The following is a 27,649-nucleotide window of genomic DNA, read 5'->3' as shown; positions in this document are numbered from 1 at the left end:
AGATTTTCTCTCTCACATCTCTTATTAAGAGGGCACTAATCCTACTTAAGAGGGCTCCACCCTCATGACCTAATTAACTCCCAAAGGCCCTTGTAGGAAAGAAAAAGTAGTATCTTTTCCCCCCTCATCACAAAGTTTATGGCTGAGGTCCTTATATCAAATAAAAGATTAACAAGATGAAAACATACAAATGTATTTAATACGTTTCAGGTGACATGGGATCCTTCAGAAATGAAGACCCAAATAGACGGAAATTTATGTATATTTATGCTTATATTTGATGAATGGTATACAGTCATATAGAAGAACAATTAGAGAAAATGGTAAGATTTAAAGGTAATAAATTGGAGAGAACTTAGTGAGGCCCATTTGTTCAGATTCTTCTTGGCATCTCTGTGTTTGCAAGGACAAGAATTTCTCTTTTTTCAGCGTATGGGGAGGGCCCTGCTGAAACAAAGGTTTTATGACCTTACTTTAGTAAGACTAGCTAGATTTTATGGCCAGTTTCAGGGGAGAAGGGAAGAGGAAAGCGAGAGTGACCTTTCTGCTTCTGTCATTTTCTTAAATGTCGAAGTGACATATTTTGGAATAGTTTTTCTTGAATCTCATCACCCCACTTCCAAATATCATAGCATTAGGGATTAGGGCTTCAACATATAAATTTGGGGGGACATAAAATAAGCACAGAGGTCTTTTTTAAATACCAATACCTTAGTGTTTGGTGACACTATTGGCTTCAAAGTAAGTCTTGGTGAGGAAGGAGTGTTTGCTATTAAACTTCCTTCCAAATATCCTGTTTGAGTCAAGATATCATACAATCAAGAAAGTGATTTCCCTTTCCTGTTGAGTCTTAGGACACATATATAAAGCAAGAATGCATATACAGTCATTCCTAGGTATTCATGGGGAATTGGTTCCAGGACCCCTCTGTGTATCAAAATCCATGATTGCTCAAATACCTTATATCAAATGGTGTAGTATTTGCATATAACTTATGCACATCCTTCATAAATCATCTCTACATAACTTATAATGCCTAATACAATGTAAATACTATGTAAATACTTGTTATATTGCTTTTTAAAATTTGTATTCTTTTTATTATTGCATCGTTATTTTTAAAAAATATTTTATGAATGTGGGACCATGGATACAGAGGGCTGACTGGGATGCATATAATAAACTTTTAAAAAGTGGCAAATGTTACATAACTATAGGTTTACAAAAACAAGATCAAACCAACTCTTTGTAAAAATAAATTTAAAAACACATCTTCAACACCGAAAGGATTGATTAAATCATTTATCTTCTTTAACTTGGTGGTCCACAAAGCCAGACACATAGTACAAATCAAGTATCTACTTTATTTATAAGACATTTGTAGCACTGATAGATCACTTACTATGTGTCAGGAGATATGGTAAGCACATAATAAATATTAATTCATTCCAGTCTTAACAATAATCCTACTGGGTACATATTAGTGTCCTGCTTTCAAGTGACATAGCAACCTGATTTCAAAGACATTTTTTTAAAATTAAAAATATAAAAAAAAAGAGAGAGAGACAAAGTGCACCCCCACCCCAATAAAAGACAAAGATGTATGACTTGTAGAGACTAATCACCCTATATAAGGAAAAATTAAAATTTGAACCTAGATCTATCTAAATTCCAAAGGCCAGTTTTTAACACTACATTTTACTGACAATTTTGCCAATTAGTGCTGCGAGGTGGTATGTACCCATTAGTTATATTTAAGTAACTGAAGGCTAAGATGACATGCTAGAGTCTTTTAAACATTTCACACATTAACATAAATAGAATTGATAAAGACCAGTCAAGAGTCTTTGTACATTCTACATATGTGTTGCCTTTTTTAATGTTTGACTCCTAAACATGAATAATTCTTTCAAACTAATTTTTATAGACTAATTGTATTCATCCAATTTACAAACTGTTTTGTAGTTTAATCTAGTAGCTGCTATATTACATACAATATGTTGATGCTATACTTTATAGAACAAAATAAAATCACTAATAGAAATAGTATTATATGCAAGTCTAATCTTAGTTAGTGGCACAGTGTTTTTTCCAATATTAATCATAGAAAATCTACCAGAGTTATGAAAAATGGTGATTTGAGAGGGATATTTGGAAAAATATAAAATGTAAGTTATTCTCTAAGTTCTTCTTTGCACCTTAAAATTTTGTAAAAATTCAATTTTTTCATATTAGTCCCATCAATTTTATTAAGATCTGTGTTTACTAAATAAGATTAAATTCTTGCCGTTCTTGGAAGAATTATTTTACCTGTGTTTTCTTTTGTGACATCTGCTGGCAATACCTGGTATTACACTGCACTATAACTCACCTTTATCTACCTTCTCCAACTGTCCAATACTTTTCCAGATAATAGCAATTTAATTCAACTTAAAGAATATAGTGAGTGTTCTGAACTAATGAAAAGGTATTTTAATATGAAACTGAATCATAGAAGCAGAAAATTTAGCCCTCTAGAGGCTGATAACTTATTTAGCATATTACACATGTATTTTAATTTCATTGCTTGGTACTAAAAGAGATGTATACTTTTTTTCTGAAAACTTTAAGCTCGTTTCAGGCAAAAATGTTATATATTATAATGCTTACGATGGACAATTGTCAACCAATCCCTCTAGTGACACTGTCCCACACAGATGTTCTCTACAATTTCATAGCTATGTGATTTAAAAGTGTACATTAAAGTAAAACTGTGCAGGTGTCAAGTCTAAATTCATGTTTAAAAATGAATGAACTGTACCTAAATTGCTATATACATCGGATCCATGGCTGTGAAGCAGAATGCATGAGCAAACTTTTTATATTACCAGGAATCCATTTATCTATAGTCCCATCAGTCAAATTCAGATACTTGTTGCCAGCTCCAAGCTTTATAGTCTGGAGCTGGTTTTTGAAATTGCTTTGTATTTCCATTTAACAGCCAGGGAAGCAGCATGTTAAAATTTTCCTCGGTCTCCTTGGATCCTATTTATAAAGCTAATTTGTCTCCCCAGACATTTTTTTTTTTTCTCTTTTAAATGCCAGTTCTAGGCTTCTAAACCATTAACCCCCCTTCTTTATCCCAAGCAAAATACTGTCACAGACAACGCCGTTGCAGGACAGTGATGATTCCGATGATGATATAGTTCTCCCAGGCAGGATACAAAACATTTCGTCTTCTGGCCGGAGATGGATTCACTGCCCTCCCTGCAGACACGCAGGCTCACACACGGAGCACTGGGAAGTACACATTTACTGTACTGCATGCCGACTGCCTTGAAGAAACTGTAGCTAACCACCTTATTAGTATTCTTGCCTCCACCGTGTCTCACTTGCAGCATCAGAGGGCTGAGCAAATGCAGTAGAACAGGGACAGACACAGCTCTGGCAATCATCTCAATGCAGGCTGCCGAATGTTGGGGGTGGGGGGATGCAGCACTTCGAGATTAATAACCTTGCCATAATCCGGGGCACCCTGCAAGCAGACACCTCTGCTGATTGACCTGCTACTGGCTTGATGCATCTGCCTGGGGGAGAGGGATCCGGAATCTACCTAGTCCTGGGGCCCCCCTGATTTTGGATGTTCATTTGATCCTTCACAGATCTGGGAAGGTAACAGCGAGCCGTACCATCTGCAGCACACAGCAGCTCTTGGAGGTTACTACTGACAGTTTTCATTACACTGGTTTGTGTGAGTGCGTGTGTTTGTGTGTGTTTGTGAGTGTGGGTGCCTGCTTTGCATGAAAGAGAATGTGTGAGTGTCCGTGTGTGTGTATGTGTTAGTGTGACAACCAAAGCAGGTATTTCGTACAGTAGGAGATTTCAACAACGTGACAATATTCTCTAGGCACTTGGGCTCACTGTCTGTAGCCCCCACCCCCCGCCTTTCGCCACCTCCTTGCTTCCCTACTCCCCCTTCTGCTTTTGCCTTTGATGAGTTTTTGGCTTACTTTTTGGCGGAGTCTCTTGGACACGTTTTTGCTGGTGCTGGAAGATCAGATACATGGAACCTTTGAAAACTGATTATTTTTCTCCGATATGACTTAAAAAAAAATAAAAAGAAGAAAAGAAAATAGAGTAGTGCACGGCAAGCTAGAGGATTGTAAATTTTCCTTGGTGAACTTTGAGGATCCATAAAGAAGGTAAGTCACGGGACTCCTCAGATCTCAGTTCTTGTTGTCTTGCAATGTTTGTGTTTTCCTGCTTGTTTTCGGAAATGTATATGCAGTTTATATGCTCATTTTTAGAGATTGGAATGCTCAGAAGAACTCAGTGTGTGGCATTTTGGGGCTATTTTTTATGCCAAGGAGGTTATTTCCATTTGTATAACCATCCCCCCATTCCTCTTACCATTTTTGTACCTCTCTTGTTTATCTAACATTTTCACAGGGAATTCTGAATATATGAAATATGGAAAAAAATAATTCCGCCTTTCTCCTGCCTTGCAATACTCTCTAAATTTGAGGAAAAACATTAATCAGAAAAGCGACTGGCAGAGGCTCTGAGTTAGAGGCAAAGTGTATCTGCTCAGAGACTGGGGGCTGGGGAGGTGGGGATGTAATCCGGACTTTCACGATAACTTAATAGTAGACTTCCCCCTCCCCATAGCTCTATTTTTTTCTTCTTGAATAGTTATATCTGCTCTAGAGAGTAGCGAATGCGTGGAATACAGAAAAGCTGCTTCACCAGCTCTTAATTGGAGCAAATGAGAACAAAGTGGAAATTGTTTAGTATTTTGAACCTCTCTCTTTTTGCACTGATTCTCTCGCTATTGCATCTCATTAACCTTTTGGAATGCAGTGTCCCCTGATTAAGACTAGTGTCGCTCATTTTGGAACATCCTCTTACCCTACATGGTCCCCCGAGAAGGGAATGTGCTTGAAAATTGCTCTTAATTGTCTATTCTTGGCTGTAAAAGCAAGTGGCATGAGGAATTCAGGTGACTTTAGTCAAACATCTTGCCTAACTCAGTCTCTTTAGTTTCCTGGTAGTTAACTGTGCCTTTCTTCACCCGCCCCCCTCCCCCCCACCACGCTTTTCCTTCAAAGTGAAACGCAGACAATATTTTACCTGTTTCAATCCCAAAGTTATTTAATTAAAGCAAAATATCATTTCATTGTGATAACGTCTGTGTTCCTGTGTCTTTTAGTATTTTTATCTCTGCATTGGCATCAATTAGCTTCACCCCAGGAGTAAGAATCACTTGTAAATAGGTTTCTAAAATGCTGAGACCTCACATGAAGGCAACAGAATCTTACTCTTCATCTGCCAGTGCATGTGGATGGTTTATCCTTAAGAGAATAGTGTTAGTTCATGGACTGTTAGCCAACTTGAACTGTTACTGTGGACACGTTCATGGAAGAGATGACAGGTGTGTTAACTAGGTAGAGAAGAGCATACCTAAGTGATTCTCTCCAGCTGTTGATGTCTATGTATAGAAAGAAGATGCAAATTGTAACATAATAGATTTATTCAGAGGCTACGTTGCCTGGGTCAAAGATTTATGAGAGCACCCAAGTTGAGAGATGTCAGGCATCATACTCAAAACGTTGATTATATATATATATTTGTTTTTAAAAAAAGGAGTTACAAAAAGAAAACAAGCAAACAAACAAACAAACAAAAAACTTAAAGAAGAGATTATACTCTGGTATTACCCTAGGCTATCCTAGCCTTTCATCTATCTAATATTTTTTGCATGATGATTTTAGAGAAGTAGGTAAAAGAGGACAACTGTGAGAAGCTGCCCCTCCTCCACCCCTGGAGCAACCTTGTACCTGGTACTCCAGGCAGAGCTCTTGGTAAAAATTACCATGGGAAGACTCCTGTCAGTATAATTTATAATATGTCTTTCATGTCAATGATTTATGATCATGATATTTTTATCTGTTACCCGTAATGTCCAGGTAAATTTTTCTTATCTAGAAAGGAGGTCTGTTGTTTTCTTTTTTTAATTTTTAAATGGCTTGAGCCTAGGAGAAACCCTAAACAAAATTTTATTTTCTTTATGGAAAAAACAATCTGAGGTTCATAAAACCTGAAAGTGAGAATAATATATGAATAAGAAACACGAAGTTTCTGTTGTAAGGAGAAGGATCCTGATACTCCAAGTGCCAATGGGTCATGGCAGGGTATTGGAGGCTCTCCAAGCTCTGCCTGGACAATCAGCATTCCTTAAGTTGGTCAGCCCTTTATTAACCTGTTTCTTTTGGCAACTAGTCCCAGGTATAGAGGACAGCATTTTAGGTCATCTATTTAGTGTTAGGACTGTTCTGAATAGAGAGAGGTCCTTTAAAAATGTCGTTCTGGAATTTGGCAAATTAGTACCTCTCTCCATTGAGGCTATTTAATGTTGACTGTTTTCCCATTCATATTCTCACCAAATACTGGTATATTTAGATGTGTGGTGTTGGTAAAAATTAATTGCATAGATTATTCTCAATACTACCTCAAAACAAAACAACAACAACAACAAAAGATACCAACTTGGTTTTTGTGTATTAAAGATTTAATAATTGTAATGAGTGAATCTTTTAGCGATAGCAACACTTTCATGATCACTTATTTTAGGCTAGTAATAGAAGTGGGGGCCAACTCAGGATTTTCTGATTACAGCTTATGAAATGTGCAAAGCATTTCTCCCATATCTCAAGGGTTCCTGATGGTGTTTGCACAACTGTAACTTTGCATCTGTATTTTCAGCTCAGGCCAGAGCAATGATAAACAGCTTTTGATCAGAACCAACTCCAGATCCATGCCTTTTTCAGTTTTATTTTGTGGTAGAGAGGGTTTTGACGTTTACCAGGGTTTGTTTCATTGCTTAGAGAATTCAGAAAAGAAAGGTAAATGGGGGTAGGGAGCTTTCCATTTCAGTAGGAGTAACTTGTCACAGCTGCTAAAGAAAAGGCTAAAGTTCCCTAGAAGCAACATATGCAGAGTTATATTTTTAAAAGAATGAATTGGTGAAGGGTTTCTCTGAGTTTATTGGGGAGAATAAAGGACATTCCGTTTCTTCTCCATTTGTCAGGCCTTTCTCTGGGACTCTGCTAAAGTCAGACAAGGAGGCCCAACATTCTCCAGTGTGTTTCTGTGTTTTTAAGACCCAGGGTACTTAACACATGAATAGCTCTTTCCCTCTGTAACAAACAGGGTTGACAGCTGGAAAGTCAGCTACTGAGAACCTTTAAAAAAAAAAAGCCAGGAACATCACCTAGTAAGAAGTTTAAGAGCAGAGAGGAGCTTTTGGAGCTCTGGCCCTGGAGGTGGGTAAGGATCAGGTGGATTGAACTTGAAATTTTGATTGCTGAGTCATTACAACAGCCTAGAGCTGTATGTTAGCTCAAAGAGCTGAGCTGATGCTGAAACTGTGGCTAATAAGAATAGGCTAAGAGCATCAGCCTACAACAGAAAATGAAGGATCTTGGAAGAAGAAGATACACTCTCTGATGACAAATGCTATTTGTATGTCCTTGGTACTGTTCTCCATCACTTCAGAACAACCTCTCAGGGACCCCAATAAATTACAAAATAAAAGATGGATTAATTGATGTGTGAATAGAGCAGGGGCTTTGCAATAAATTAAGCCAACTCACTCAATTATCTGCATCTCCATTTGGGACTACTCAGCAGTCACAGATAAAATGGGGAGTGGTGGAGGCTGGGGTTAAAATTAGAAGAAAAAAACCCTCTGGATTGAGAATCAGAAGATGTCAGTCAAACATTGCAAGTATTGCTTAATGGTTGGTAGGTCATTCAAAGTCTTGGAACCTTGATTTCTTCCTATATAATTTGGAAATAACTATTCTTAACTCATAGTGTTGTTGTGAAGGCTATGATGAAATATTGTAGAAAAAAGGATCTACAAATATACACTTATGTAGAAATGTAATGTGTTACAGTAATGATGACTTTATGTATTGTTCAAGACATAAAATGATTCCTCCAATATAATTTCAAGTTAAAGTGTTAAGCAGAACTGGTCTATTCTTAATGATTAGTGATTAACATTTATGTTGTTATAGTTTTGGCGTTTTCCAAATGTGTTGACTCTAACTCTTTTCAGTAATTTTTGTGGTACATTCTTAGTTACTTGTGAATATGTGTATGTGTCGTGTGTATGTACATGTGCATGCATACATGCATAAATTATTAGCCAATCTATATGAGGCATAATTTTAGTTTCATGAAAAATAGAAAATGTATAATGACCTGAACTCATTTTCTGGATATCCAGAAAATGTAAGAAAAACTTGACTTCCCCAGACTTGGACATACACAGACTACTAGCAAGTTTGCACTCACCAAATAACTCCAGTCCACAATGAGGCTGTTGATTAGAATTTGAGTTACACTTGGGAATTATATAAATAAAATATACATTTATAATAATAGCACAGCATACAGTGATTTTCACAGTGAGCTGCATTTGGTGGAGAGATAGACCAGAATTAAAAAGCTGACTTGGAAGTTATGACAGCAAGAGAATATGGTATTGAGAACAGGCTTTGTAGTTGAATAGAATGAGATCAGATACCTAATCTCATGAAGCCTTAGCTGTCTAATCTGTAAAATAGGGACAATCAGTTATAAGCAATTCTGTGATGAGTGAATGAATAATTTTATATAAAGCACTTAATAAAATCCTTGACACAAAATTGGACTTCTCTAGGTAGCTCACATATATTCTCTCATTCCTGTTCAACTAGTTTAAGAATAGGAAGACCATACTAATTCAGTGTATTTATATTTTTATACAGGGGGTAAAAATCCCAAAACTAATCTGAGTGCCAAATAAAATTGGAGACAGAAAGCTATATTCTGAAAGCTGTATTTCTGTAAATTAGCTCATTTCATGTACCATGGCTTCATCAGACCCTTTTCTGGAGCAGCCTAAGTACCCTTTTCAGATGTCATTTCACTTATACTCAGAACTTTCAAAATGATACCGAATATAAGGAGCAATAGTCACGTGCATCTTTCCATATGTGGTTGCAGAAACACAATTCAGATGTCAGCAAGAGGTGTTAATATTGCTCTTTATCTAAAATCTCATTTTGTTCACTGTTAATAAAAGGATGCATATTTATTAAGCACCTACCAGGAACAAGCGCTACAATCATTGCTGTGGGGAGTATTAGAAGGATTCTCTGCTCATAGCTATTTGCTGCAATTCCTGTATTTGGACAGGGAATGCTGCAGTCTTAAAGGCGGCCCCTTGGAATTTTGACTTGATAGTTAACAAGAATTAAGATTCCTCTGCCAGAATCTGACCTATGTGGGGCTGTGTCATTCTGTGTGACCTTTATTTTGTTCAAGAACATATCAGAAAAGATGTAAAAAGCCTTGTTCTTACTAATGTAGCTGAGCTGAGCTGTCAGTGATGAGTCCAATTCTGCTTTGCTAACTGCACGGCTGGTACCACTTGACCCAGGTATTTCGGTACTGCAAAGTCAGCCTTTCCCTGTGCATGGAGAGAACAGGGTTTTGTCCTTCAGGTTGTGGGTTCTTTTTATCCTTAAAATGAATGGATGAAGTCTGCTTTATGACTTTGTGAGAAGAAAGACAAGATCCATGCTCCCTGCATTTTAAAGCTTCATGCCATAAAATTTGATTCTAGGAGAGTTAGAAAGGAAAGAGGGATGTCAATTGGTCAAAACAGCAAACACAAGTTCATTGGCCTCTACCACAGCCTTAAGCATCAGAATTTGTGGTTGAAGCTTTGCATTGAACTAAGGAAATTCCTTTTGTGATATACTGCAAAATATATTACCAACACACACCAAGAAAATATAATGTTATAATCAATTATCTCATAGAGTCAGCAAAGGTATTCTATGTGCCAGGCACTGTGCTAGGTATGTTAGATTATTTATACTTCTCACATACAAACACACATACACACACACACACACATACACACAAAATAAGCAAGGTAACATTATTATTCCCATACTACAGATAAGGCAAACAAAGGATTTATTTGCCCCAAATTCTGACTCACTCCAAAGCCCATGTCTGTTCTTTTATGCCATGGTTTCTTTTATTTGTAGGATGTGAACCCAATGCTTCTTCACATAATTATAGACAGTCCAGAGCAAGCCTTCTGTAAATGCAAATCAAGTAATCACATTCCCATAATAGGGCCGACTCTATCAGTGGAAAGATGTGATGTTAGTATCTCTAAGGGGCCTCTGAAAGGTGCTTCTCTGAACCAATGGGTCCCTAATATAGTACATGATCAGTACCATATTTTTGTGGTCTTTGGCAGAATCCATAAGTTGAGGCAGATCTCTATTTAACTTTGACAGTTACTTAAATCTTATTAAAATGTCTGATGCCATGTGCATGATTGTACTGCAGTTACAGGACACAGAGGAAAGTAAAGAAATGAAAGTCTTCTCTGTAACACTAAATCTTAAGTGACATTAAGGAGCATTTGCAGAATTTACTTTATGGGTAGCATGTCCCAATATGTTATGTCTCATTAGTAACATACCTTTGGGAAGGTTACTTTTGTAGCTGTATTTCCATATCTTACCTTGTAGTGTTGTAAAAAGATTAAGAAAAATAATGCCCACAAAGTATCTAGAACAGAGATTAGAATTTAATTGGTACTCAGTAAAAGGTATCTCATTATTATAATAATTAAATTTACTTATAATCATTAGTAGTAATAGTAATTATGATAATAACTTAGCAGTTTCAGTTTGTATAAATGTTGTTGTACTCTGCAGTGCCAGAGACGATACAAATTATTACCAGCACATGAATAAACAGAGAAGCAAATATTCTTGTTTGTCTACTTATAAAAATATAAAACAGAGGAGGGAAATTATCTTTCAACATATTGATGTCAGTGGGGGACATGATGGAAAAAGAGTGACTGGTACAGAACATTCAAGGAGACCAGAGAAAGAAAGAGAACGAATTCAGAATTTCATAAACTGGGGAATTCTTTCTAAAGTCAGGTTCTAAAATGTGAGCCATTAAACTCATTGCTTGGCTGTAAACAAGAGAAAAGGTCATATTATGAAAGCTTTCTTGAAAAAGAGAGGAAATAGCAATCTTTCTTCCACTTAAAACTGTCAAGGAACAAAGAAAATTTTAACACCAACTTTTCTCTAATCCCTGTAAAAATCCTCTAGCTTTTTTACATAATGTAGATATTCAATTATATTTTATCTGTTTTTGATGTTCTAGCTGTTCCTTTACATATCTATTGAGCAAACACATTAGCATGTTGAATATTTGATAATAAGTTACTTAAAGATGAGAGATTTCAATTCCTTGTGTAAGTCCTTTCAATTTATACATTCATGCTTTAGGTAACAAGTCACAGAAACAAAGGCCAAGTAAGCACACAATGGTGCAGGGTGTACATTTTTTCAACCATATGATTGGAATTAAAACCTGTGACCATATATACCTTGACCCCAGTAGATACTCCAAATGGAAGAAGTAAAGAAAATAATCCATATAAGTTGAGACAAATGTTTGAATAACATAGTAAAAAATATGTGTGAAGTGAAAACATTTAGGAAAAAATCAATCTAATAAAGGCATACTCTTTCCTGAAAACAAGCAAATGATTAATAACACAGACAGTGGATGGGTTTGCTAATTTTTTGCTGTTGGAGACATCCACCATGCATAGTGACAGCAGTCTGAATACAGATACATACAAGGAAAAAACTCTACTCTCCCTTCTTCAAAAGGAAAGCCATGTTTATATGTGACTTTTGCTCAGGGTCATTTTCTCTACCAAGGTACCTGGACTACTATTAAGCATTAAACATATTATCAGTCAACCTGTTCTGATTCCAGTGCCCAAGTAAGAGCAGATATAAAAATAGTTTAAAATTTTTCTGAGTGTTCCCCTGGCTGCCAGCACTTTCATGAAATAGGTCTGTTTTGCTCATGAATACCTAACTTCTTCCTGTGTTCATCTGGTTGATGCTATTTCCTGTTTTCCCTTTCTTTATCCTTGACCTGTCATGCCTCACTGCCATGACTCTCCTGGATGTGTTTGTGCTGCTTCAAGTTTGATTTTCATCTCTTCCATCACTATAAGCACTGCTGCATTTTTTTTAAGCTTTTGCTAAATGGAATTCTGTTCTTCCTATCTAATACATATTTTTCTCCAAGACTAATTTGTCCAGCACCATATACATAAATACACATACACACACACACACACAAAATCTATATCTATATCTATATCTATGTATGTCTATGTGGGTGGGGGTGTTTAGTTTTTAAAATAACCCTATTCCTATTCCTGAACCTCAGAACGATGTCATGGATTTAGGTCAAGAACACTTTTGCATAAGTCAGTCAGAATTCTCAATGAATGTTCTTGTGGGTAACAGTACATTCTTTTGCTTCTGTAGTCATTTCGATGGTGTCATTTATTCAAAATTTGTTTATTAAACACCTACTAGACTCACTGTTCTATCACAGTTATGATGTGGAGCACAAAGTTGTAAACAATCCGATTTTTCCCTCAAATGTGTTCCTATATTATTGTTGACATTATATTGACAGAGGAGCAATTAACTTGCTAAACAAGGCAGCACAGGATTCAGAACCAAAAAATAATAAAGTCAGCACGTAAAACTCAGAGAAGAGAGTTATCCCTGAGGAATTTGTGGTTGGGAAAGATTAAAGAAGGAAGGGGAATTTGAGGTTTGTCTTAAATATGTATATTGTGAAGCAGTGATAATGTTTCCGAGGAGAAATTAGAAGAAATTATAACTTTGCATATATCAGTGCTAATAGAGTAAGGAAATACATCAAAAAGTATTTGGTAGGAAGGAATGAAGATATAGGTTGGAGCCCCGTAGAGAGCCTTGTAAAAACCCACAAAATTGACACAATAGCTGTCACACATTTAATTCTATGGTATTTCAGATGATATATTAAAAACTTTATAGTTGCATACAGGGGGCATCATTATTCTCAGGATACAGATGAGGAAACTGAGCCATAGACAACTTGTGATTTGCCCAAGATAAAAACTCATTAAAAGCAGTGTCTACCTGAATGTCTGCCTAGTTGCGTCTGTCTACAAAGCCCTGGTGCCTTTATTCCTCTCAGTTTGTGCATTAGCTTGCCTAACACTTAAAGCCAGAAACAGTTACTTTTTTCTATTACCTTTTAAATATTTCTGTGGTTGCTTGTATGAAAATATTTTCCACCTTTGCTATAACATTTTTTTAAATGTAAACAATTTTCCTGGACTCCTTTTTCTCTTTTACCAATTATTGCCAGAGAGCTTAGAAAACAGAGACACAGAGACTCACCTATTTAGTGTCCTCAGTTTCTCTTCTATTTTCTGGAAGGGGTGCCAGTGCCTTGTACAGATGGTCTGTCGGACAGACAGATGGTCCAAGCATCTCTAGTGTTATGTTCTAGAGGGAAACATGTCTAAGAACTGCCAGCTCAGAATGGAATGGCACTTAACACAACCATGAAGAGTTGACAAAAAGGCCACTCTCTGACCTTCTAGTATTCAGCCTAATTTTTTCTTTTTAGATTTTTAGTTTTCAGAGATGAGAGAGACAGTTTGTCTGCTTTGAGTAGAAGCCAGTTTCTATTTCTCTCAAGCTAGAGGGATGACAGTTTCACAATAATACATTTAGAAATTTGCCAGGTAGTTTCATAGGATGTTTATTTTTCTTGGCTTAGAATCTGGATCCAAGATAAGGGTCCAGGAAAGGCAAAAGGGAGACTATTTGAAGAGAGTCAGCTCTACTTCTGACCACATCTACTTAAAGAAGCGAAAAAGCTTTTTTTTTTTTTTTTTCCATCAAGAGGAAACTAACTGCTCAGACTGAATCTTTGGTCATTACTATCATCCCTGGGTAGGGGTCGGGGGAGGCCAGTAGAGAGTCACTTACCAGGTGCCTGTTTGAATAACACCTTGATCTTCTTCCCTGATGAGAGCAGAGATAGGAGGTTGAGAAACAGAGAAACAGCTAATTTGCTCTCCTGTCTGGGCCTGGGTATGGTTCCAGAAAAACCTGCCTTTCTATCTATTTTACTCACCCCTCACAGTAGTTAGTGATTTTCAGGGCCAGAATATAGGGACATTTTTTTTTGCTCCTTATGTCATCTTTTTTCCTACCCTTCTTACCCAGTGGAAGCCACAGAAGATACAAAATCAAGCTAGTATTAGGCAACACCTCCTATCTTTGACATTTATTCAGATTATTCTCTCGCCTGATGGCCTGCTAGAGTTTCTTGGTTTCTTGCTTCCTTCTTCCTGGGTTTTTACTTCAACTTCATATTTAGCTCCAACTTTTCCAACATCTGCCTAAGCCCCCAGGCCCACTTTCTGTTTTGACGATGTCTTCAAACCTTTTCAAATCTACATCCTTTGCTCTAGCCTCTGTTCTGTACACTTACACGGTTTTAAGTAGCCTAGGGCTTCAAATTAGAGGCAATGCTTCTGCTAGCTCCAGCCTTGCAATATTGGCTACCCTACTCCACAGCTTCCTTGCTAGAAGTGAAGAATAGAGACTACCTTTGCATAATTAACTCAAATCTTCCCAATCTGCAAACTCTGGTTATATATTTGACAACTATCTCATTTCTCTGTCATTAGATGTAAGTATCTTTTAAAAAGTACAATATTCTTATCTGTCAAATCAAGATCATGATAACAACTAGCTTGTATTCAGCACTTACTATGTGTTTAAAAGTTTACATTTATTATAAAAATATTTGATCTTTTCTCCAAAACAACTATGAAGTAGGTATTATACAAATTTTAAAGATGGTTAAATAAATGGCCAAAATTATATAGCAAATGTCAGGACAAATCAAATATCTATATTTAGAAATACTGTGAAATGTTGTCTTCTAAGTCATTTAAAAATATGTATAATACCTTTCTTCACAAGAGAATACATAGGGTTTCTGTGTTTGCATGTATAAGAATAAGATTTAAAGTTTAAAGCTCTATGTAGCTGGGCGCAGTGGCTCATGCCTGTAATCACAGCACTTTGGGAGGCGGAGGCACATGGATCACCTGAGGTCAGGAGTTAGAGACCAGCTTGGCAAACATGGTGAAACCCCATCTCTACCAAAACTACAAAAATTAGCCAGGCATGGTGGCAGGTGCCTGTAATCCCGGCTACTCAGGAGGCTGAGGCAGGAGAACTGCTTGAACCTGGGAGGTGGAGGTTACAGTGAGCAGAGATTATACCATTACACTCCAGCCTGGGCAGCAGAGTGAAACTCCATCTCAAAAAAAAAAAAAAAAAAAGCTCTATGTAAATGTTAATTGTTGCTAAGTTCTATCCTGAAATTATTTATTAATGACACCACATATATTTCTGTAGCCCACTGTAACAAATAGCTGATTAAGGGGTAATCATTTCTCAATTTTAAAGCAGAAATACTGTGGACACTGATGAAGTAAAGCTCCAAAAAAAAAAAAAAAAAAAACAGACGTGTGCAGCAGCCTCGTTTGTGTGTCTGGTGAAATACAGTAGAACCTTACTAAATTACACTAATGAGTTGGAGACCCATTACAAATTATCACATTTGCCCAATTAGTGAAGGGGCAACATAAAGGAAAAAGACTATTAAGCCAAGCTGATATAAAATTGTAAGCAACCCTTAAAGATGTTAAAAACATACCATATAAACAAACACCCACAAATGTACCTCTACAAAGGTGAGGCTGCTAAGATTATTATCAAACACACAAGTATTTGTACAATATATTTGTGTGGATTTTTTTTCTTCTGTTTCTTACAGGATAGAAGAATGAATGGCAGTTCATTGTAACTATTTTATGTTTTAACTGAATCAGGATTTGAGTGAATGTTGGAACATTTTTGTGTCGTAGATTGTGGTGCTATATTTAGTTAAATTGTATTATATACTTTCAGGGTTGTCTTACCATTGTAAGCACATTAATGGGTATTACGACCTTGGAATCTTGTCAGTTACGGTACTTTTACCTACTAAGTTGTTCTTCACATATTCTCAGAAGGTAGGACACTTGCTGATCAAATTATCTCAATGAACTTACTTTGGGGACAAAAATGAAAGGCAAAGTATCCACCAACTTCCATGGGATTCTAAATTCTCACCCTTTAGAACTTAAGATATCATAGTGTTTTTAAATAATTAAGATTGGATTATTTTTCATGGGGTTTTAATAGCTTCAAAATAGAGTTTAGTACAATTTGTAATTGGAAACTGGGAAATTTCTTAGTTACATATTTCATGTATTGATTCTATGCCCGTGATGAGGATGAACATAAATCTTATTTAATTCTTAGTATAAACATATGCAGGTAATATTATTATGTCTAGTTTACAGATGAGGAAAATGAGGCTTAGGAGAGCTTAAGTAACTTGCAAAGATAATACAGCTAATAATTGTTAGAGCTGGGACGTGAGAAGATGCAGTCCTGTTTTAAAGGAGCTTATACTCTACCAGACATATGGTCACATTCATAGCATGCTTTATGCTAAAAATGTGTCTTCCAAGCCCAGATCTTCTGCATAATTAAAACGATGGCCTACTCTGTCTGCTTCCTTTTCTCTATTTCTCCTGATTACTGTGTTTTGATCAGATGTTCAATATGACATCATTTTTGCTTTAGTTTTGTGATTTCAGAACTCCTTTGCTCTTTACTCTGTAAGGACTTTACTTGTTAAACTTAAAACAGATGGTCTTTTGGTGCACATGGTCTAGCAACAATGAACCACAGTCTCCTTGGTAAGGAAAGGGGCCACATGTGGCCTCAATTCTCTGAGATAAATAGAAAAATAAGGCCACAAATTCCACATATCCTGGTATGTGCATTCTTTTGCAATATGACACCCCATGAAAGTGTGGATTCTGTTCCTTTACCCCTAGAATCTGACTTTGTGGCTTACTTTGATGGAATGTGGAAGAAATAACATTACATAACCTACAAGGATAGGCCTTATAAAGCCTTGTAGCTTCCATATTCCTCCATTGGAGAACTGCCCTGGGACCACTGAGAAAGAAAACCCATCCAGCCTAGTGGAAGTCACATATAGGAAAACTGACCCACAACTCTCTCAGTCCCCTTCATTGCATGTCACTAACAGCCAGCACAAGCTGCCAGTGAGGCTAACTTGGGCCTTCCAGCCCAGCCTGTTCTCTAGCTGAATGCAGGTGCATGAGTGAGTAAAGGAAAAACAAGCAGAGCAATCACCCATCCAATGCAGAGGATGGTTAGATATGCATAACTTTTGTTTTAAGTCTCTCCGTATTGAGGTGGTTTATTACAGAGAATAGTTAACTCGAACAGGCTTATATATTACACAAGCATTACTCATTTCCTAGAATTTAAGCTGGGGCAGGAATAGATCTGTGAGTTTCAAGTTGTTGTCTACTGTGTTTTCTTGAAAAAGAGTAACCTGGTAGAGTGAATGGATATCTTTGCAACTGCAGAGCAGCTTTTATTAAATGTCTAGACTTTGCTAATTGGGAGCTTGACCTTCATTCACTTTCACTTGTTTTAACGTTATTATTGAGTCATTTTTTTATTCAACAAATAAATGTGTAGAACCTACTATGTGTCTGACACTGAATTTTATAAGTAATGTCATCTAAATGATTAACAGCTTCAACATAAAAAGGAAACACATTTTCCCCAAACATCTATGGCAGTAAGTTTTACATAACACGTACACACACACACACACACACACACATGCAGTCACTCATTCATACACACTGTGGATTCCCTCTTCCTGCTTGGATCTTCATTTGAAGAAAGAAAAAAAGTTCTTTTTTTGTTATAAAATAATTTGTATGTTTTATTCACACATTTATATTTAATTCCTCCAGTAACTCTTTAAGAAAGGTGTAATTATTGTTCACGTATTACAGATGGGAAGGCTGAAGATTAAAAGATTAAGTGATGGATTCAACATTATGCAACCAATAGGTAGGGAATTCAAGATTTAAATATGGGTCCTCTGATTTACCCTTCTGGGAACTTTTCATTGCACCATTCACTCTGCCTCCATACAAGACTGTGACGCCAGCCTCAGTGCCTTCTTCTTCTCCTTTCCTTTCCCTCTTCCATTTACTCCTTTTGTCTCCCAGTGACTCCCTTTTATAGCCTACTCCATCCCTTAAAAATCACTTGCTATCTCACGTGGGTGGGGGGGCATTCAGGTTGCCTCAGAATGTCCTTTGTGGGGCAACATGGATCTTGATATGCTTTTATGATCCCTTCATTCAGAATTAAAATGCGAGAGAAATAAGCTCTGGGGAGAAGGGATTTTCTCATGCACTCTTTATGAGATATTTCTTGAGAGATTACAGTGTTTTCATTATGCAGAATCTTCTGGAACATGGGAAGGAAGAGAGATGGTGAAGCGAAGGTTGCATGTTAAATCTTCCTTTCTTCTAGTTTTGAGGTACAGTTTACTGCCGGAGCTAAGGGGAAAAGAATAGAAATTAAGTTAGATGTCGGGCGTGGTGGCTCATGCCTGTAATCCCAGCAGTTTGGGAGGCCAAGGCAGGCGGATCACCTGAGGTTGGGAGTTGGAGACCAGCCTGGCCAACATGAAGAAACCCTGTCTCTACTAAAAATACAAAATTAGCCGGGCGTGGTGATGCATGCCTGTGATCCTAGCTATTCGGGAGGCTGAGGCAGGAGAATCACTTGAACCCGGGAGGTGGAGGTTGCAGTGAGCTGAGATCATGCTATTGCACTCCAGCCTGGGCAACAAGAGCGAAATTCCATCTCAAAAAAAAAAAAAATTAAGTTAGACTTCCTGTCCTGATACTAATATGACTCAATCTTATTTTCTCTCCACTTTTCTATACTTAATCATTGTATCTTCTAAAATCTCATTTCCCTACCCAATTTTGTACTCAAGCTTATTATGTAGCCAATGACTTTTTGCATAAACACTTCAGTTCATGCAGACCAACTATTAAACGCTCATTGAGATCTGTCACCTAGAAGCTTGCAAGACACATCTTTGTCTACTGTGGTTCAATGATTACTCTACTGGATGATGAAGGAGCCACCACATACAAGCTAATAGTCGTCCCTTGGTATCCATGAGGGATTGGTTCTAGCACCCACCCGTGAATACAAAAATCCATGGATGCTCACGTTCCTTATATAAAATGATTTAGTATGTTCATACAACATATACACATCCTTCCATACACTTAAATCATCTCAAGATTATTTATAAATTGTAATACAACAGAAATGCTATGTAGTTAGTTGTTATACTGTATTATTTAGGGAATACTGACAAGAAAAGAAGTCTGTATGAATTCAGTATAGACACAACTGTGCATATTTTTAAAATATTTTCCATCTGTGGTTGGCTGAATCCACTGGTTCAGAACCCACACATACAGAGAGCCAACTGTACTCATTATTATTACTTTTTTTCTCTTCAAACCACCATGTTTTATAGCTACTGGCTTGTCTGTTTTTATAAATATTTCAAAGCATTAGAGGTTCGGAAATTCCTTCGCATCTGTGGAATTTACCTGTGTTCCACTAATATCAGACTGCTCTGAGGCTACTCTTAGCTCTTCTGTGATGTTTCACATAGTGCCACATGTGCCCAAAATACATACTCAGGGAACAGAGGAAAAGGTAATATGAAATTGAGGCTCCCGGCTGGGCGCAGTGGCTCGCACCTGTAATCCCAGTACTTTGGGAGGCTGAGGCGGTGTGATCACCTGAGGTCAGGAATTCGAGACCAGCCTGGCCAACATGGTGAAACCCCATCTCTGCTAAAAAAAAAAAAAAAAAAAAATAGCTAGGTGTGGTGGTGGGCACCTGTAATCCCAGCTACTCAGGAGGCTGAGGCAGGACAATCACATGAACCTGGTAGGCGGATGTTGCAGTGAGCTGAGATTGCACCATTGCACTCCAGCCTGGGTGACAAGAGTGAAACTCAGAAGAAAAAAAGGAGAAGAAGAAGAAGAAAAGAAAGAGAGAAAAGAAAAGAAAAAGAAAGAAAGAAAAAAGAAAAAGGAGAGAGAGACTCCCTTTATTAAATTTGTTTCCTTATTTTATTTTACTTTTTGAGAGAAAGTCTTGCTCTCTTGCCCAGGATAGAGTGCAGTGGCATGATGAGGGCTCACTGTAGCCACAACTTCCCAGGCTCAAGGGATCCTCCTGCCTCATCTCCCCAAGTAGCTGGGGCTACAGGCATGCACCACCAGGCCCAGCTAAATTTTTTGGATTTCAGTAGAAATGGGGTTGCGCTGCGTTGCCCAGGCTTGTCTCTAACTCCTGAGCTCAAGTGATCCTCTTGCCTTAACCTGCCAAACTGCTGTGATTACAGGTGTGAGCCACTGTGCCTGTACAAAATTTGTTTCCTTCCGCTAATTTGTTTCTTCTAAGCCTTCGTTAATTCTTTTTGGGATTTGTCTTTCAAGTCAGTGTTAATATGATGAGGTTGGATTTGCACCTATGTTGAAGCAAAAAAAAAAAAAAAAAAAATGAAGCAAACATAAAAATAAATAAATAAATAAATAAATAACTAGAAGGGGTCTTGGACTAGAAATCAAAAGTATAAGCTCTACCATTTCATAGCAATACCCTTATGCTTTCTGAAATCAGCTTTTTCCTTTGTTAAATGAGAATCATACATGCCTCAAAAGCATTTTCTGCAATGCAGAACATTCTGCATACATAAGTCATTGTAATTGTTGGGCAGAAATTTGAAGATAGATGAACTATTTCAGATTATACAGATGAACTATGTCAGATTATACAGTATAAAAATCTAATGGCTGTTTTTATAGCAAGAAAGAAGCAACAGGCCGGGCGCGGTGGCTCACGCCTGTAATCCCAGCACTTTGGGAGGCAAAGGCGGGCGGATCACGAGGTCAGGAGATCGAGACCATCCTGGCTAACACAGTGAAACCCCGTCTCTACTAAAAATACAAAAAATTAGCTGGGCGTGGTGATGGGCGCCTGTAGTCCCAGCTACTCGGGAGGCTGAGGCAGGAGAATGGCGTGAACCCAGGAGGCGGAGCTTGCAGTGAGCCGAGATTGTGCCACTGCACTCCAGCCTGGGCGACAGAGCAAGACTCTGTCTCAAAAAAAAAAAAAAAAAAAAAAAAAAAAAGAAAAAAGCAACAAAGAGAGAGAACTGTGTCTTGAATTAAAATCATTTTTAAATGTTCCTATTTGTTGAAATTTGCCATTATTTTTTCATATTAATACTTAATGTAGGAAAAGATATGTTGATAAATGATATGTTTATATGTTTTTGGTAGCAATGTATATTGGAATAACACTTTTTTAGAAAGCAGTTTGACTTTGTATTATGGGTCATAGAATTTTTTATTTACTTGGATCCTGTTCTAGAAATTTATCCTAAGGAAATATGAAAAATGCAGTATGCACAAATATGCTAATAAAATTATTTATAAAGGTAAAAAATGGCATCAGCCTACATGTCAAACAAAAGAAACATATGAATAAATTAATTATGCATAATTATAAGGCAGCTTCAAAAATTTATGACCTGGAAGGTTTTGTATAATGACAACTATATAAAGAAAATATTAATGCATATGTAAATTTGAAGACTGAATAGTAATATACTGAAATACTAATGATGATTGCATTATTATAATTTTTTTAAACCTTCCTAAATTTATGTTTTATTTCTGAGGGCAGAAGATGTTTGGACCAGTTAATATAACTCTTGGCTATAAGTAATAGTAATTTGACTCAAGAAACCTAAATGAATTGGAGTTCATTTTTCTCATTTAACAGTAAGTCCAGAAATTGTAGGTCATAGTTCTGTGACTTAACAGTGTCAAGGGTGGGAGCCCTGTTGGCCTTTATTTCTTTGTTGCCAGATAATTGCTGAAGTTCTTGCCATCTTCTCTACATTCAAGGCAGAAGGAATGAAATAGAAGGAAGAGACATGCCAGTTACATCTATCTTTTTTTTTTTTTTTTAACTGGAAAAAAATAAATTTTCTCAGAGGCCCCCAGCTTAAGTCTCTGAATGAAGATTGAGTCAATTTGGGTATCTCTACTTAAAATGGAGGCTGAGAAAACATATGAGATGTGGAAAAAAAAAAAAGAGCGTTGAAAGTAACTTTGGGGTGGCTGATAAACCCTCTAGCCCACCATGATAAACCATGGCATGGGATCCTGGAAGATCTCCATATGCCTCATATCCAGAGGAAGTCCCTATTGTTCCTATCTCAGCCACCCTGACTGCTAATGATTCTGCTTTTCTACTTCCATTTTGCCTCTACCTTCCACCTTTGTCTGTCACACCAACACACACACAAAAAATAAACGCTAGGAGGGGAAGTGAGGGTGAGCCTCAGTTCCTCATTCTGGATTCTTGACTCTGCTTAAGACATTCAGATTCCCTTAGCATATTCAGTTATAGTCCTGGCAAAAACAAATACAGCTGATATAGGTCTAAATTTCTATGCAGCTCCAGTGTTGCATTTCTTTAGTCATGCATATTAAATAGTCCTTAAAAACAGAAGAAAGAGAGTGTTGTCTCTTCCCTCTCTCTACCCTTGAGAAGACTGGCTTGGCTCTTCATGACTCACTTATTATCTCAGCATTATTATAGTAATTGAGTTCTCTAGTACTGCTATAAAGATACTACCTGGGATTGGGTAATTTATAAAGAAAAGAAGTTTGATTGATTCACAGTTCCACATAGCTGCAGAGGCCTCAGGAAAAGTACAGTTATGGTAGAAGGCAAAAGGGAAGCAAGGACAATTTTACATGGTGGCAGGAGATAGAGAGCAAGAAGGAGGGAGCTCTGGACACTTATCAAACTACCAGATCTCGTGAGAACTCACTCACTGTCATGAGAACAGCAAGGGGGAAATCCGCCCCTATGATCCAGTCACCTCCCACCAGGTCCCTCCCGTGACACATGGGGATTACAATTTGAGATGAGATTTCGGTGGGGACATAGAACCAAACCATATCAGTCCAATAGATGGAATCTTTAAGCTGGAGACTGTTTTATTAGACTATACTTTTTTTTAAAAAAAACATATGTAGTGTGTTACTCTCCTCGTAACTGTCATTTGATTTGTGCTTTTTTTAAAAAAGCTTACATAGTTCTCTTGATGCTGAGAAAATTAAAAAGTAAAAATTAAAAGGAGACCATAGATAAAACCTATAAAATATATCTGGAATCTGTTTCTTTTTAAATTGTAACTGGCCCCAATTCACCATCATCATTAGATTATGCCATGTCAGTAATTTTTCTCCCCCTTTCACTCTAGTTTTCTTCTAACCTATTCTCTCTAGAGTGGACAGACAAACTCCTTTTTTCCAAAAATATTAATCATAGATAGCTATATGCAAAAAAATGAAACTGGACCCATGTCTCTCACCATATACAAAAATTATCTCAATATGAATTAAAGTCTCAAATATAAGACCTGAAACTACAAAATTCTTAAAAGAAAACCTAAAAAAAACTGAAAACAAACAAACAAACAAACAAGAACTCTTCTGGACATTGGCCTAGGCAAAGAATTTACGACTAAGGCTGCAAAAACAAAGGCCACAAAAATAAAACTAGACAAATTTGACTTAAACTAAAAATTTGCACAGGAAAAGAAATAACAGAGTAAACATACAACTTACTGAATGAGAGAAGTATTTGCAAACTATGCATCCAACAGAGGACTAATATCTAGAATCTACAAGGAACTCAAACAATTTAACAATTTAAAAAAACCTCATCAAAACAAAACCCATCAAAGCCATCAAAACCCTATTCCTTTCAGAGATGCTTTCTGCACCCATACTAACTAAACTGGGACTTTCCACACAGCCACCATCTCTGTGTTGTCTTCCATGAGTTGCCACAAAGTGGGCAAAAACATGAACAGATGTTTTTTAAAAGACATACAAGCTGCTAACAGACATATGAAAAAATGCTCAACATCAATGCAAATTAGTTATTGTAATAAAAATGAAAATAAATACCACAATGAAATACCATCTTCCACTAGTCAGAATGCTTATTATTAAAAAATAAAAAAAATTGGATGTTTGCAAGGATGTGGAAAGAAAGGAATGCTTATACAAATTGGTGGGAATGTAAATTAGTACAACCTCTGTGAAAAACAGTATGGAGATTTCTCAAAGAGCTAAAAATAGAACTACCATTTGATCCAGCAAGTCCACTATTAAATATCTACCCAAAGGAAAACAAATCCTTATATAAGATATCTGCAATTGTATGTATATTGCAGCATTATTCACAATAATAAAGTAATGGAATCAACCTAAATGTCCATCAATGGGTGGTAGGAGAAAGAAAATTTGGTATATATATACCATGGAATACTACTCAGCCATAAGAAAGAATAAAATCATGTTATTTGCAGCAACATGGATGCAGTTGGAGACCATTATCCTACGTGAAATGAATCAGGAATTTACAAGGGGGAGCTAAACAATGGATACTCATAGATATACAGAGTGGCATAATAGACATTGGAGACTCCAAAAGGGAGGACAGTCAGAGGAATTTAAGGGATGAAAAATTATCTGTTGGGTACAATGTACACTATTCAGGTTATGATTACAGACTTCACCACTACACAATATATCCATGTAACAAAATGGCACTCATATTCCCCAAATCTACAAAAATAAAAACAAATGAATCAGTTGCTAAAACAAAAAAAAATTTAAAAACACCTACCAATTTATCTAATGCATATTTTGCATTTAGAATCAAATCGGTTTCCTTACTTGTGATCCTCAGGTGTTCATTCAATATATATTAAATGAATGAATGAAGAAATAATGAGAAAAAGTATTTCTGTGTCTAAAAAGTGAATTATTAAAGGTTGGTGATAAGATTGGAAAAGCTGACGTGGAGCCAAAATTAAGACCTTCAGTGGTATGCTAATTGGTTTGACATTTACTTGTTTTACTCCATCTCATGTCATTCTCTCTTTATTCACAGTGCTTCAGCATCAATATTCTGAGAGGGGCTCCAGGGATAGTATACCCTGATACTGTTTTCATTGCAATTTCTTTCTCATCGTTTATATCCCAATTTCCTTTTACTCTTTCAGAGATGCTTTCTCTGCTCATACTAACTGAACTAGGACTTTCTACAAGGTCACCATCTCAGTGTTTTCTTCCATCTCAGCTTTTTGTTGGATTATTTTTGAAAATTTGTATTATTATATTTGTTAATTGTCTTGTATTTGGTAAGTCTACATCATTAGAATGTAAGACTTTTAAGAGCCGAGATCTTTTTCATCTAGTGTCTAGTCAGTTCCTGAACAATAATAGATTTACTATAGATACCTGTTTAATAAATAATGTTGATATGAAGACCACACAATAAAACAAATCTAGGCAACAAGTACAGTGTCTGCCACATGTTATTTGCATAAAAATTGTTGGTCTCTTTTTTTCTTCATCCATTTCCCCAGTGCTGTAAACTCCTCCAAGACAGACAGGTACCATATTGTAATTATTTTTTTTTATTATTTATTTATTTATTTATTTATTTATTTATTTGAGATGGAGTTTTGTTCTTGTCGCCCAGGCTGGAGTGTGACAGTGTGATCTCAGCTCACTGCAGCTTCCAGCTCACAGGTTCAAGTTATTCTCCTTCCTCAGCCTCCCACATGGCTGGAATTACAGGTGCCCACAACCACGCCCAGCTAATTTTTGTATTTTTAGTAGAGACGGGGTTTCACCATGTTAGCCAGGCTGGTCTCAAACTCCTGACCTCAGATGACCCATCTGCCTCATCTTTCCAAAGTGCTGGGATTACAGGCGTAAGCCAGGGCACCCAGCCCATATTGTAATTATCTTTTGCCCCCAGGTCCAACATACTCTTTAGCGCAAAAAAGTCAGGAGATTTTTATAGTTAACAAAAACAGAAGGAACAAAGATGTAATGAGTGAATAAGGAAAATCTTAACAAATACAAAGACATTGGAATGGGGCAGAAGCATTTTGGAAAACAAGGGTTAGAAAAATCAACAAAAGCCTGGGGATGAGTGTACAAAAAAGCTTGAAGGTTCTGTGAAGACATGAACTGTTCCTATCTTTGAAGCACTAAATCCACATTAAATCCTTGGTTTAGAGGAATGTTCCTGCAACTGGTGTGTGTGTGTGTGTGTGTGCGCGCGCGCGCGCGTTTGTGTGTGTGCGTGTGTGTCTTAATGAGCAAGAGAGAGGTTTTGTGGTTGGAAAAGAAGGCAGTGAAAGTTTGGAGATAATATTGGAAAAGGTAAATGATAGCAAGATTTCAGAGAGACTAGACTGTACAACTAACTACGTTGACACCATTCTTGTCAGCAATGGTTGACCTTTGAATATTTGTACTGTATTTTCAGAGGTGAATCAATTCAGGAAGCTGAAGTAGGGTGGGGAAGATAAGAGTTCATTGTCAGGTCCAATAAAATCTAATCTCTAATGATACCTGTTTCTAGAAGCACAGCTAGGGCTTGTATTTGGTGTTATGTTACATTTAGTAACAGTAATTTTCTTTGGTAAGATTGAAAAGTATTGAGTATTTTAGGGCAGAATGGAGATACTAACAAAAAGTTTGCAGGTCACATGGTTTTTTCATCTGTTCCTTTATCAGAGTTTGAGATTTATCACGTTTATTGGATTATCAAATCAAAACCCATTGTAGGAAAAATATTGGTGATTGTTTCTTTCCCCTTCTTAAATGTAGGGCATTGAAATCTCATTTCAGGATGTTAAAAGTACTAGTTTTAGGGACTCTTGAAAGATGAGAAGAGTTTTCCATTCAGCTTTTGAGAAACGTTGGTATAGGTCATTTGATGCTGTGTTGTGGTCTGCAAGGCAAAATGATTTAGAGAAGTGGCATTGTATAACCTGAATTCAACTGGACATGCTTTCAGAAGTAGAAGTGAATGTTGTGAAAGAGGCTCTCTGTGATGATTATGCCACATGTAAGATTTCTGTACATTATCAGACAGTGGAGGCTGGTCAGTCATTTCTATAAAAGGTTCTCTGGTTTTGCTAACTAATTTCATAGACATTATTGCCACTGTGGGACTTTGACAGGTCAAGAATTTGTGTAGCCTCTTTGAAATCAGTTTTCTTCCCTGGTCCTCCTTAGTCTTGACAGAAATTCCAGTTTTGTACTGAATGCCTGTCAAACAACAGGAAAACTAGGGATATTAAATGTATTATCAAAATATCTTGAGAAATAACATGGTCCTGCCACTCTTCTTTTAAAGGGTGTATGTTTATCTTAACAGAATTGTCATGAAATACATCTAATATATATTCAAAAAGCAAAGTATTACTAATTACTATGTATTCAGTGAAAAAACTGTTCCTGGGTCTTCTATATTTGGGAAATGTTTTTTTCGGAGACAGTCTTGCTTTGTCACCCAGCCTGAAGTGCAGTGGCACGATCTCAGCTCACTGCAACCTCCACCTCCTGGGTTCAAGCCATTCTCCTGCCTCAGCCTTCCCAGTAGCTGGGATTACAGGCGTCCATCACCACACCCAGCTAATTTTTATATTTTTAGTACAGACAAGGTTTCACCATATTGGCCAGGCTGGTCTCGAACTCCTGACCTCATGATCTGCCCACCTCAGCCACCCA

The 27,649-nt window shown here is 37.0% G+C and overlaps 1 protein-coding gene across 17 annotated transcripts in view; it reads left to right on the top strand.

Moving 5' to 3' along the window:
* Positions 1 to 3,959: 3,959 nt before the first annotated feature.
* LRRC4C (leucine rich repeat containing 4C) overlaps positions 3,960 to 27,649 on the top strand; it is a 1,345,454-nt gene continuing 1,321,764 nt past the window's right edge. For all 17 annotated transcript variants that reach the window (XM_017018075.3, XM_017018073.3, XM_017018077.3 and 14 more), the window contains exon 1: positions 3,960 to 4,181. The gene's annotated coding sequence lies outside the window, so the exon portion shown is untranslated. The remainder of the gene's footprint in view (positions 4,182 to 27,649) is intronic.

This window comes from Homo sapiens, chromosome 11, assembly GCF_000001405.40.
Source record: "Homo sapiens chromosome 11, GRCh38.p14 Primary Assembly".
Taxonomy (NCBI): domain Eukaryota; kingdom Metazoa; phylum Chordata; class Mammalia; order Primates; family Hominidae; genus Homo; species Homo sapiens.
Note: the sequence above shows the minus strand (reverse complement) of the source record. Positions and strands in the feature narration are given on the sequence as shown.